This window comes from Homo sapiens, chromosome 1 (genome assembly GCF_000001405.40).
Source record: "Homo sapiens chromosome 1, GRCh38.p14 Primary Assembly".
NCBI lineage: Eukaryota > Metazoa > Chordata > Mammalia > Primates > Hominidae > Homo > Homo sapiens.
Genome location: NC_000001.11, coordinates 44691670 through 44704670, shown reverse-complemented (window position 1 = coordinate 44704670; position 13001 = coordinate 44691670). Strand labels below are relative to the sequence as shown.

At 46.3% G+C, this 13001-nt stretch overlaps 1 protein-coding gene and 1 long non-coding RNA gene across 31 annotated transcripts in view; one reads left to right on the top strand and one right to left on the bottom strand.

Moving 5' to 3' along the window:
- Nucleotides 1–13001, bottom strand: part of ARMH1 (armadillo like helical domain containing 1) — a 50878-nt gene that overhangs the window by 20921 nt on the left and 16956 nt on the right. For 26 of the 27 annotated variants that reach the window (XR_007059336.1, XR_001737140.2, XR_001737141.2 and 23 more), the window contains 4 exons: nucleotides 7501–7569; nucleotides 6442–6608; nucleotides 3552–3748; nucleotides 498–582 (listed from right to left, as the gene is read on the bottom strand). Coding sequence is in view for 24 of the 27 variants with exons in the window: in XM_011541340.2 (XP_011539642.1) it covers nucleotides 498–582; nucleotides 3552–3748; nucleotides 6442–6608; nucleotides 7501–7569 (518 nt within the window). In the remaining 3 variants the exon portion in view is untranslated. The remainder of the gene's footprint in view (nucleotides 1–497; nucleotides 583–3551; nucleotides 3749–6441; nucleotides 6609–7500; nucleotides 7570–13001) is intronic. The other variant, XM_047419380.1, reaches the window with a different exon arrangement.
- LOC105378690 (uncharacterized) overlaps nucleotides 1–13001 on the top strand; it is a 36515-nt gene that overhangs the window by 20158 nt on the left and 3356 nt on the right. For 2 of the 4 annotated variants that reach the window (XR_001738032.2, XR_007066058.1), the window contains one exon: nucleotides 3076–4025. This is a non-coding gene — a long non-coding RNA (uncharacterized LOC105378690). Of the gene's footprint in view, nucleotides 1–3075; nucleotides 4026–13001 lie in introns of those variants that run through there. The other 2 variants (XR_007066059.1, XR_947286.4) reach the window with 2 other exon arrangements.

The following is a 13001-nucleotide window of genomic DNA, read 5'->3' as shown; positions in this document are numbered from 1 at the left end:
ATGTAGTAGTGCACACTTGTGGTCCTAGCTACTTGGGAGGTTGAGGAGGGAGAATATCTTGAGCCCAGGAGTTTGAGGCCACAGTGAGCTATGATGGTACCACTGCACTCCAGCCTGAGCAGCAAAGCAAGACCCTGCCTCAAAAAAAAAAAACCCAGCAAAAACAACCAACCAAATACTACGACTATTCAGTTTAGTTTCTTAGAAGAAGGACATTCCTCAGGGTGATTTCTGTTTAGCCAGGAAGCATCACATAAGACTGGGAGCCAGAGCCAGCTCTGGACCCAGGCAGATTCTCGTAACCGTTCAGGCACCCTAGGCACCCTGTGGTTGACGCAAGGCATAGGTGTGACTGACATTTTCTGAACCAGCATCTTCCATCTGCCAAGGCTGTCTCAGACACTCAACATCAAGGCTCTTTGTGACTAAGAGAAAGCTTTTGAGAGCTGATATGTCTGGCTCTCGGTGCCCCCTTCTGCAATCTGGAGGCTCCCTACCTTCATACTGGACTTCCAGGTGCATCGTGCCCAGCACCTTCAGCACGCAGTCCACGATGCTGGGGTGTGTGGTCCCAATGATTGGCTGACCAGACAGACAACAGGACAAGGTGGTTAGTCTTTTTTTTTTTTTTAAAGATGGATTCCCGGCCGGGTGCGGTGGCTCACGCCTGTAATCCCAGCACTTTAGGAGGCCGAGGTGGGCAGATCACGAGGTCAGGAGATCCAGACCATCCTGGCTAACAAAGTGAAACACTGTCTCTACTAAAAATGCAAAAAATTAGCTGGGCGTGGTGCCAGGCGCCTGTAGTCCCAGCTACTCCTGAGGCTGAGGCAGGAGAATGGCGTGAACCCGGGAGGCAGAGCTTGCAGTGAGCCGAGATCGCGCCACTGCACTCCAGCCTGGGAAACAGAGCCGTCTCAAAAAAAAGAAAAGAAAAAAGAAAAAGATGTATTCCCACTCTGTCACCCAGGCTGGAGTGCAGTGGCGCGATCTCGGCTCACTGCAACCTCCGCCTCCTGGGCTCAAACGATTCTTCTGCTTCAGCCTCTGAGTAGCTGGGATTACAGGTGCCCGCCACCATGCCCAGCTAATTTTTTTTTTTTTTTTTTTAGTAGAGACGGAGTTTCCCCATGTTGACCAGGCTGGTCTCGAGTTCTTGACCTCAAGTGATCCACCCGTTTCAGCCTCCCAAAGTGCTGGGATTACAGGCATGAGCCACTGTGCCCGCCCAAGGTGGTTAGTCTTTAGATCTTGTCTACCTGTTAGAAAGGAAACGCAGACTTCCAAACAGCCAGGTGCCTGGGTGAATGGGGAGAGGGAGGGAGGGCAGTGGTGAGTCACTGGGCCTAGGCTGAGGCTGCCACTGAACTCTCTAGCTCAGGAGGCATTAAATGAGGCTACCTGCTAGAGGTGCAGGAACAAGGCCGGCTACTCTGATTGGGGGAGAGAGGACACAGGGCAAGGAGAATGGAACTCATTCAAGATCCTAAAATCTTCTCTTCCTCAGGAACCTCATCCCATCAGACAGCCCCCTTTTTCCTCTCTCCTCAAACTTTACCCATGCATTGGTTCTTTTCTTTTAGCATTAAACATCCTCAAGCTCATCCATATTTAACAACATCGTCCTTCAACTCTGTCTTCTCCTTTGCTATTGCTCTTTTTTCCCTTTACATCTAAGCCTCCCAAGAGAAGCCACTTCTTCATCCCCTATTCATCCTTTGATGGGCTGCTGCGATTTAATTTTTCCTGCCATAGACAGTCTCCTAACTCACCAAAACTTTTCCTGCTGGGACTATCTTTCTATTCTACCCTTACTGAATGACTTTGTTGCATCTGACCCCAGCTGATCATGTCCTCCTTACGGAAACTCTTTTCCCTTGATTTTCCAACCCTATTTTTCTTCTATCACTGTCATTGCCCTCTTTCTTTTTCTTTTCTTTTCTTTTTTTTTTTTTTTTTTGAGATGGAGTCTCGCTGTGTCTCCAGGCTGGAGTGCAGTGGCACAATCTTGGCTCACTGCAACCTCCGCCTCCTGGATTCAAGCAATTCTCCTGCCTCAGCCTCCCGAGTAGCTGGGATTACAGGCACACACCACCACGCCCAGCTAATTTTTGTATTTTTAGTAGAGACAGAGTTTCACCATGCTGGCCAGGCTGATCTTGAACTCCTGACCTCATGATCCACCCACCTCGGCCTCCCAAAGTGCTGGGATTACAGGAGTAAGCCACTGCGCCCGGCCCTGTCATTGCCCTTTTTTGAAGAGGCAGAGTGGTATGTGGAAAGAATAAGGACGTAGGAGAGGGTGGATTTAAATTCTCGATTGGTAAACACCTTTTACTTAGCATGCGGCCTTGGGTAAGTCACTTAACACACTTTCCTGAGCTCAGCTCCACCATCTTTGAAAAAGGGAGAATAGTATCTGCCTCCGTCAGCTATAGTGAAGACTAAGAGAGAGCGTGTAGATAAGCCCCTAACACAGTGGCTGGCATGTATGAGGCACTTAATAACTGGGAACTGTGGAAATAAGATAATAATGATAATCTGATCTGTTTTTAAAATTGTTTTAGAGACAGGGTCTCACTCTATCACTCAGGCTGGAGTGCAGTGGTGCCATCATAGCTCATTGCAGCCTCGAACTCCTGGGCTCACACGATCCTCCCACCACAGCCTCCCGAGCAGCTGGGACTATAGGCACATGCCACCACAGCCAGTTATTATTATTTTTGAATTTGCCTTTTTTTTTTTTTGACACGAGTCTCACTTTTTTGCCCAGGGAGTACAGTGGCATGATCTTGGCTCACTGTAACCTCTGCCTCTCAGGCTAAGCCATCCTCTGAACTCAGCCTCCCAAGTAGCTGGGATTACAGGTGTGCACCACCATGCCCAGCTAATTTTTGTATTTTTAGTAGAGACAGGGTTTCATCATGTTGGCCAGGCTGATCTCAAACTCCTGACCTCAAGTGATCCACCCACTGCAGTCTCCCAAAGTGCTGGGATTACAGGCCTGAGCCACTGCACCCGGTCTGATGGTTCATCTTAAAGCCACTTTTTAAGCCTCTATCCCCTCTTTACTAGGTACGATGTCTTCGTATGCTCACCGTGCCCCAAATTCGGTTTTCACTTGCATCCGAGGGTACTGTCTGAGAGAAGGGCAAAAGCCAACAAGAAAAAAAAAAAAGCCTTCCCCAGCACTGGAGATCTGGCCTCTTCACTTACATGCTGTCTACAAATGCACCATTATTCTTTCCCTATCAAATCGACTCCTTTAATCTTTTCTACAGCCCTTTCATCATCCTTGTTGCTTGTCTCAACCACTTTTAAGTCTGCCAACATCTTTCTGATCCTTAAGTAAACAGGACAAATCACTCTGCTGGGAGGCATGAACTCTCTGCCCTACCTTGGCCTTCTGGAAGTAACGCTGATTGAACAACAGACATGCAGTGGGAGGCTGAGCTCCGTTTCTCATGCCTGTGTGGAGAGCAACTGCGGAAGGTAATTGTAAGATTATTGCATCTGAATCAGAACCACAGGAGCATGCAGCCTTGGCTCACCTGGGCAGTCCTGAGAGTCTGCAGGGACAGCTGCTGGGCTTTTGGGGACTCGCAGGGCAGCAAAGCTATTAGACCTTTATACACTTGATTTTGGTACTTGGGATTGCCGTGGACCAAAGAATCCAACAGAACCTGCACTTCCTCCTGGGTCTCTTCTGACTTAGACTTTGCCAAAAATTCTGCTATGGATCGTACACCTGAGCAAAGAAGAGAGGAAATGCTAAATTGGAAGGGATTTATGAAAAAATCCCCACTCAAGATTATATAATATGAATAGGATTAAAAGCTCTTCAACCAAGCCTGTTCAACCAAAGCAAAATTGAGGCCTGGTTCTCATGTTGCATCACTGTCTTGTTTACCTTAGAGTTATGTGGCTGGAGGATTTTATTTCAGCATAGGCATGTCAAAATCTGTTTTAAAGTTTAAAATGGCTCTGCACAATTTACAAATAAAACATGCATTTTTTTATTGCTATATGATAACTCTTTTTTTTTTTTTTTTTTTGAGATGGAGTCTCTGTCTGTTGCCCAGGCTGGAGTACAGTGGTGCGATCTCGGCTCACTGCAACCTCTGCCTCCCAGGTTCAAGCGATTCTCTTGCCTCAGCCTCCCAGGTAGCTGGGACTACAGGTGTGTGCCACCAGGCCTGGCTAATTTTTGTATTTTTAATAGAGACAGGGTTTCACAGTGTTAGCCAGGATGGTCTTTATCTCCTGACCTCGTGATGCGCCCACCTTGGCCTCCCGAAGTGTTGGGATTAGAGGCGTGAGCCACGGCGCCCGGCCATGATAACACTTGTATAGCACTCAGCAGTTTGCAAAATGGTTTTACAAATACTAATTCACTTAATCCCAGAAACCATACCAAGAGGAAGGTGTTTCTCCCGCTTTATGGATGAAGACACTGAGGCTTCGAGAGGCCATGGGGTAGACAGGCAGGAGAACCTTGATGAGAATGCAGGGTGGGAAGTGCTTTGAAAAAGGGAGATGTTCGTCAGGCGTTGTGGCTCACGCCTGTAATCCCAGCACTATGGGAGGCCAAGGCAGGTGGATGGCTTGAGTTCAGGAGTTCGAGACCAGCCTGGCCAACATGGTGAAACCCTGTCTGTATTAAAAATACAAAAATTAGCTGGGTCTGGTGGCACGCGCCTGTAGTCCCAGTTACTGGGGAGGCTGAGGCAGGAGAATCGCTTGAACCCGGGAGGTGGAGGTTGTAGTGAGCTGAGACCGTGCCACTGCACTCCAGCCTGGGCTACAGAACGAGACTCCAACTCAAAAAAAAAAAAAAATAGAAAAAGAAAAGGAAAAAGGGAGATGTGGGGGATGGCATCTCTTTTACATGCCTCACTTCATGGACTATATTAAAATTATTGAGGGTGCGGTGACTCATGCCTGTAATTCCAGTACTTTGGGAGGCCGAGGTGGGTGGATCGCTTGAGCTCATGAGTTTGAGACCAGCCATGGCTAACATGGCGAAACCCCGTCTCTACTAAAAATAACAAAAATTAGCCAGGCATGGTGGCGCATGCCTGTAATTCCAGCTACTTGGGAGGCTAAGGCATGAGAATTGCTTGAACCTAGGAGGCAGAGGTTGCAGTGAGCTGATATTGCGCCACCACACTCCAGCCTGGGCGATAGAGTGAGACTCCGTCTCAAAAAAGAAAAAAATAAAAACTATATTATTTACTTTTCTCACCAGACTCTAAACTGTCTGAGGACAGGGATTATATTGTATTCATTTTTGTATCCCTAGCACCTGGCATATACCTAGCACACAGTAGGTATTCAATAATTTTATTTCAAATTTATTTTATTTCCTTTTTTTTTTTTTTTTTTTTGAGACGGAGTCTTGCTCTGTAGCCCAGGCTAGAGTGCAGTGGCGCGATCTCGGCTCACTGCAATGTCCACCTCCCGGGTTCAAGCGATTCTCCCACCTCAGCCTCCCAAGTAGCTGCCATTACAGGTGCGTGCCACCATGCGTTTGAATTTTTTTTTGTATTTTCAGTAGAGACGGGGTTTCACCGTGTTAGCCAGGATGGTCTTGATCTCCTGACCTCGTGATCCGACTGCCTCTGCCTCCCAAAGTGCTGGGATTACAGGCGTGAGCCACCGCGCCTGGCCTAATTTTTGTATTTTTAGTAGAGAGGGGGTTTTGCCATGTTGGCCAGGCTGGTCTCAAATTCTGACCTCAGGTGATCCACTCGCCTTGGCCTCCCAAAGTGCTGGGATTACAGGTGTGAACCACTGCGTCTGGCCTTCAATTTTATTTCTTGAGTTATTCATAATTCAATTTCTTTTTTTTTTTTTTGAGATGGAGTTTCACTTTTGTTGCCCAGGCTGGAGTGCAATGGTGTGATCTCAACTCACCACAACCTCTGCCTCCTGTGTTCAAGCGATTCTCCTGCCTTAGCATCCCAAGTAGCTGGGATTACAGGCCCCGACCACTGCACCAGGCTAATTTTTTTGTATTTTTAGTAGAGACGGGGTTTCTCCATGTTGGTCAGGCTGGTCTCAAACTCCTGACCTCAGGTGATCTTCCTGCCTTGGCCTCCCAAAATGCTGGGATTACAGGTGTGAGCCACCGCGCCCGGCCTCATAACTCAATTTCACAAAAGATATTGGGCCACAGCTCAACAAATCTTTGAATGGATGCCTGAAAGAGGATATATTTAAAAAGGAGAAGTATTTCTAAAACCACTACTGAAAAATGTGAGCAAATGATGAATCAGGAGAATCATAAATCTGGGTCTTCCAGTGGTGACATGGACAGGAGCACAAAAAGCTTCCTGTTCAACCAGTTTCATGATGTGTTTTTCCTATAGCAGTGGTGGGTTCTGCCACCATGTCATTCAGGCCCCTAGGGAGACACATCTTGTCACACACAGTACCCACCATAGCTTTCACAAATGAGTTCCTTGTATGTCCTGCCAGAGTTCGCAATAACCTGAAGTAGTTTGACAGATTCCTTCTTGGCCTCCTCCTTGATCTTCTCTAGCCCAAGTATTTCCAAGAGGGTTAGGACACCTCCAACCTCAAGAAATTCTATAAGGTACCGATTACTGTCCAGAGGGATAGAAAAGTAGAAATAAAACTCTTGTCAAGTTCCTTTGCACTGAGCTTTCAAAGAGATCCCAAGGTCCCCTCTTTACATACTTTGCCCTCCTATCCAGGAAATGTCCATAGGTAAAGTGATACGAGTGTGGAAATTCTTCCTTCCAGCAGGAAAGACTGGAATTACATACTAGGGACAGTTCTTGGTTTTGCCATTCCAGCATCTCTTCTTCTTCTTGTAATACCACCTCAACTGTCACTTGGGGAATCACCCCTCTGCCACTCATGGGCCATGTAGTTTTGGTGGGGTGAGGAGGTGACAGGGTATGTCACCCTTCTGACTGCAGAAGTTCGTTTGGGGCTGGGCATGGGACCTAAATTGGTCCAATGAGGCTCAAAGCCTGGGACTTTCTTGGGAAGCTGTGGAAAGGATCTGCTCTGTTTTTGGTATGTCTAGAGCTCCTGAGGACCATGGCATACAGAGGTCTATGAACACAGAGGAGAAGAGACAGAAATGGGGGAAAAGACAGAGAAGGAGGCCAAGTACTGATGACATTGTTTGAGCCCTGGATCTAGTTAGGGCTGAAATATGTATTTCTACCCTCTGGGTTTTTCCAGTTAAGTGAGCCACTAATTTTCCTTTTTCTGAGTCCAATATGAGTTGGTTTTCTGTAATTCACAACCGAGAGGGTGCTGACTAGTGAAGCGCCACTGGAGAGAAAGGGATGGGGGAGCAACTAGAGCAGGAGCCCGGTGGACATTACCTCTGGGCCCATCCCAAGAGCTACAAGGAACCCACTGCTAACAGGAATCCGTGGCCCTGGGTGGTGTGAATGCCAAAGACATCATGAGCCTGAGATGCCACTGAGACCCCCAGAATCACGCTAGAACAGAACTCACCTGCTTACAGCTGATAAGAAGATGCCAATGGACCTGAGAAGCTTTTCTAAACATGAGTCAGTCATATAGCTGTATGACACGTTAAAGAGTGAGTTTCAGGGTGGTTTTTCACACAGAAGCCAGAGCCCGTGCCTGATCTCTGGTACCACCCCGGGCCCAGGGTGGCCAAGTAGCTGAACTGTGCCTCTTTACCCTGAGAGGAGCTACCAGCGGAAGGGGAAGTGGCAGTACACACAGGGTTGGGGGAAGAGGGTGCTGGCTGTTCACTGTTCTCCAGGAAGCTCCTCTGTGGCAGTTCAGCCACCTTGGCTCTTACAGGCTTTCTAGGGAACAAGGAGGCTCTGATGAATTAAGGGTCCCTGGAGAAGGCTGGGGGTCAATATCCCAAAGCTCTCTAAGCCATGCCCATTGCATCCTTGGTGTCAGCATAGTTCATGACTTTGTGCCTCATTCTTAGATTTCCCTAAAAAGAACCAGCTTCATCATTAATTCTCAATTTTTGTACTTGTTCAAAGTTTTACACTGGAGGTCACTATCCTTATGAAGAATTGGCTTCCTAATAAGAATAATAGGAGATGGTGGAAAAATTAAACTCTGATTTAAAACAACCTCAGTATTTAATGTTATTTTTTAATGTGAGTCTTTGCAAAAAGCCTCATTATAATAAAGTACCCAAAGCACGCATCAGCTCAGATACAAGGTATGAAATCAAGCCACAACAGAAAAGGAACCAGTCAACAATTACTAGGCTCATAACACATCAGAGGCTCTTAGAACACTTAAGAAATTAGCTGAAATTACTGCAGCTCATGGAGGATGACTGAGAGCTTCCAAGGCTGATAAAGGCTAATGTAATGGTTTGGAGGTAATGGTGCTTTGTTTGGGCGGGGGGTGTGTGAAGCAAATTATCTCTGCTGCACCCTGGTTCCCAGGATGCCAATAGAAGTAGAGACAGATTGGCTCATTAGGAAAGGCTCTTTACTGCAAAAATAGTGTTGGCTCTGGAGCCAGGCTCCCCTGCCTCTTGCTGCCATAGTTGGGGCCAGGCAGCAGCCCACACGGTGGTCTTTTTATTCCTACATTGTCCCCACCCTGCTCCCTCAACTTCTGCCCCTGTTCCTTCCTCAGTGCATTCTCCCCTTTTTCTTCAGGCTAGGCTGGCCAACTTTTGTTTCTGTCACCTTCTGTTTCCTCTGTCCTGGGCTAGTCTTTTTTTTTTTTTTTTTGAGATAGGGTCTCACTCTGTTGCCCAGGCTGGGGCACAGTGGTGCAATCACAGCTCACTGTAGGCTTGAACTCCTGGGCTCAAGCAATCCTCCTGTCTCAGTCACCTGAGTAGCCGGGACTACAGGCACGTGCCACCATACCCAGCTATTTTTTTTCTGTATTTTTTGTAGAGACAGGGGTCTCGCTATGTTGCCCAGACTAGTTTCGGACTTGTAAATTCAAGCAGTCCTCCTGCTTCAGCCTTCCAAAGTGTTGGGATTACAGAGGTGAGCCACCATGCCAGCTTTATTTTTTGTTTGTTTTTTTCTTCCTTTTTGTGGAGAATGGAGTTTTGCTATGTTGCCCAGGCTGGTTTTGAACTTCTAGGCTCAAGCGATCCTCCTGCCTCTGCCTCCCTTTAAGTATTGAGATACTGGCGTGAGCCACCACACCCAGCTAGTCTTGTTTTCATAGTCACTCACTATACATATTTCTGGTCTATTATTTCCAGGAATTAGTTCCAGAACACATGGTTTGAGTCCTGGATCTAGAGAACAGGGGATGAAGGAGCAATGTTGGGGCCACAAGATCAGCAGTTGCTAACAAGTACCAGCTCCTATTGTGTGCGGGGCACTGTGCTAACTGCTTTGCTTGCATTGTCTCAAATAATCCTCACCATGGCCCTCCAGTGGGTGCTATTAGCATTTCCATTTACTTCCTGAGTAACATGAGGTAACAATCTCAGGTCAATAACTTGTCCAAGGTCCCACAGTGAACTGCTGGAACCGGGATTTGAACCTAGGCAGTCTGACTAGGATTCTAACTCTTACTGTTAGGCCTTCTGGCTTGTAGACAAATGGAGGGAGGGCGCTTTGCAGATGAACTCCCAGTGTGGTGTCGCAGGTGGAGCTGTGGTCTGCACGGTCCACTGAGTAGGAGACATGATGGTGTATAGGCTTTCGGACAGACACCCGGTTCTAACTTTATCTCTACCATGTGCTAGTAAATTACTCAACCTTTTCAAGGCTCATCTTTCTTATCTATAAAATGGAATAATACCAATCACCTATTAGGCTGGGTGTTAGGCCCAAATGACATAATATTTGTACAGTATATATCTCAGTGCCTAGAACATAAAAAGACTCAATAGGCTGGGCCCAGTGGCTCACACCTGTAATCCCAGCACTTTGGGATCCCAGCACTGAGGAGGGTGAATCACTTGAGGTCAGGAGTTCAAGACCAGCCTGGACAACATGGTGAAACCCCGTCTCTACTAAAAATATAAAAATTAGCTGGGCACGGTGGTGCATGCCTGTAATCCCAGCTACTCGGGAGGCTGAGGCAGGAGAATCGCTTGAACCTGGGAGGCGGAGGTTGCAGTGAGCCGAGATTGCACCACTGCACTCCAGCCTGGGCAATAGAGTGAGACTCTGTCTCAAAAAAAAAAAAAAAAAAGAAAAAAAGAAAAAGACTCAATAAATGGTAACTAATTTTATCATTTAATACATAAATCCTTAGTTTTACTGATCTATTCTGAAAGTTCAAGGTTGAAAAAAGGGTTTAGGCTTATTGGGACTATGTGGTAGTCAATTTTGCAAAAAATAATGATGCTGTGATGCTATTATATTGACTTGTTTTCCTCCAAAATCCACCATAACTGGAGGGCTGAGTAGGAGAAGTGGGTTTGCTAATTCAAAACACTGTTATCACATCACGCAGTCTATTTTATCTGTTGTACGACAAGGCTGCAAAAAGTTAGGGAATTATGAATAATTCTAGGTGTAGAACACTGAATCTACAACTGTTCAGTAAAAGCATGGTTCATTCATTTAGTAAGCACTGACTGAGTACCCACTAAATTTTAGGCACTATGATTGGCACTTGAGAAATGAAGAAGAATGATGTAATGCCTAATGTAATAAGTGCAATGACCAAGTAAAAAAGCACAGAATGCTCAGACACACTGACATTTAAGTGGGGGATTGGAGTGGGAGAGATCCTGCAATAGCAACTGAGAAACAGCGGGAAAAGGTAGAAGAGAGGACAGCTTAAGAGGGGGCAGTGGTCAAGCAAGGCCAGGACTAGGGTGAGGTGAGGGAGGCACTTGCTTGGGGTCTGAAATTAAAAGGGGCACCAAAAAACTCAGTAATCACATAATATTTCAATGCACTATTTAAAACAATCAAATTAATATAAAAAGTCCATGATGGGCCAGACATGGTAGCTCACACTTATAATCCCAGCACTTTGAGAGGTCAAGGTGGGAGGGTTGCTTGAGCCCAGGAGTTTGAGATGAGCCTGGGAAACAGCAACAGCAAGATCCTGTCTCTACAAAAACATAATAAAATTAGTTGGGGATGTGGTGGTGCATGCCTATAGTCCCAGCCACTTGGGAGGTTGAGGTGGGAGGATGGCTTAAGCCCGGGAGGTTGAGGCTGCAGAGCTGTGATGGCACCACTGTGCTCCAGCCTGGGTGACAGAGTGAGAGTGAGACTCTGTCTCAGACAACAACAACAACAAATCCATGATGAGATGAATAAGACATCACAGTGTTAAATAGACAGGATCTGACCCTGCACCTGTACCACCCTGGCTTACTCATCTCACCCTGTGGCCAAGTGGAAAATATTGTTCAGTAAGACAAGGAAGGAAAAAGGAACTCTAGATTTGGCCACAAAGCTAGGGACTTGGTGAGGCTAGTGTCATGAGTTGTGGGGACAGGAGCCAGGTTATAGGCAGCAATGTTTCTCAAAGCATAACCCGGGGACCACTGGCACTACAGCCACACAGAGTACTTGTTAGAAATAAGGGTCCAGGGTTCCACCCTCAATCTACTAAAGCAGAACCTTGGGAGTGTGGGTGGATAGGTAACTGGTAATCTGCATTTTAAACCTCTTTTATGCACAATAATATTTGAGAACAGACTGGGTGTGGTGGCTCACACCTGTAGTCCCAGCACTTTGGGAGGCTAAGGTGGGAAGATCGCATGAGGCCAGGAGTTTGAGACCAGCTTGGGCAACATAGCAAGACCCCGTGTCTAAAAAAATTTTAAAAACAGAAAAATTAGCTGAGTGTGGTGGTGCACGCCTATAGTCCTATCTGCTTGGGAGGCTGAGGTGAGAAGATCCTTTGAGTCTCCAGGAGTTTGGGGCTGCAGTGAGCTATGATTGTGCTGCTGTACTCCAGCCTGGGGAACAGAGGAAGACCCTGTCTCAAACAAACAAACAAACAAAAAAAGAACATTTGGGTAAACCTACAGATGTATTCCATGGTTATTCCCTTTGGCCTGTGTTACAGGCCTGAGTCTGAAAAATAATTTTATCAATAACTTAAATGTAAGAAAGAGAGCAGTGTTTACTTAAACCTTTAATTCTTCCCAGCTGCAGATGCTGGGTCATTCATTCCTCTACTCAGCAAACATGTGCCAGGCATTGTGCTACATGTTAGAAATATAAAGATAAGTAGAACAGATGCGATTCTTGCCCACTGGATCTAAAATCCAGTGGGGGGAAAGAGAGATATTAAGCAGGTAATAACAATAAAATGTTATGATTATTAAGGCAGAGGAAGTCTATGAATATATATAAGAAGGGAACCTAAGCTAGCCTGGGACTCAGAAATGGGCTTCCTGAGAAAGTGATGTTTAAATTGAGACCTGAATAATAGAGTAGGAGTTGGTCAAATAAGGAGGGGGTTTATTTATTTTTATAGAGATGAGGTCTTGCTCCATCGCCCAGGATAGAACACAGCGGTGTGATCATAGCTCACTGCAGCTTCAAACTCCAAGGCCTAAGTGATCCTCCCTCCTCAGCCTCCCAAGTAGCTGGGATTATAGGTGTAAGTCACTGTGCATGGGTCAAGGAAGGGGTTTAGAGAAGGCGAGAGGGTTCAGGCAAGGACAGAAATATACAATAAAAGGGTCTGAGATAAATCTGTAGAGTGCTATGGGCACACAGAGCAGGAATATCCTCAAATCCTCCTATAACTTGAACTATCACCTTGACGGTGACCAGATCTGTCTTTAGCCTTGACCTGCCTCCAGGGATCCTGAGCACAGACATCTCAAACTCAACATGTCCCAAAACAAGCTTATCTACCCTCAAGCTTACTCCTCTTCTTATGTTCTCTTCCACATAATGGCACCATATTCCCCTAGTTTACTAAGTCAGATATGTGACACTCATCTTGTGGCATATGAGTGAAGATGGATATATGGGTATGGAATAGTTGGATATATAGGTATGGAACTCAGATTCAAGAGAGAAATTTGGGCAGGGATACTTATTTGAAAGCCC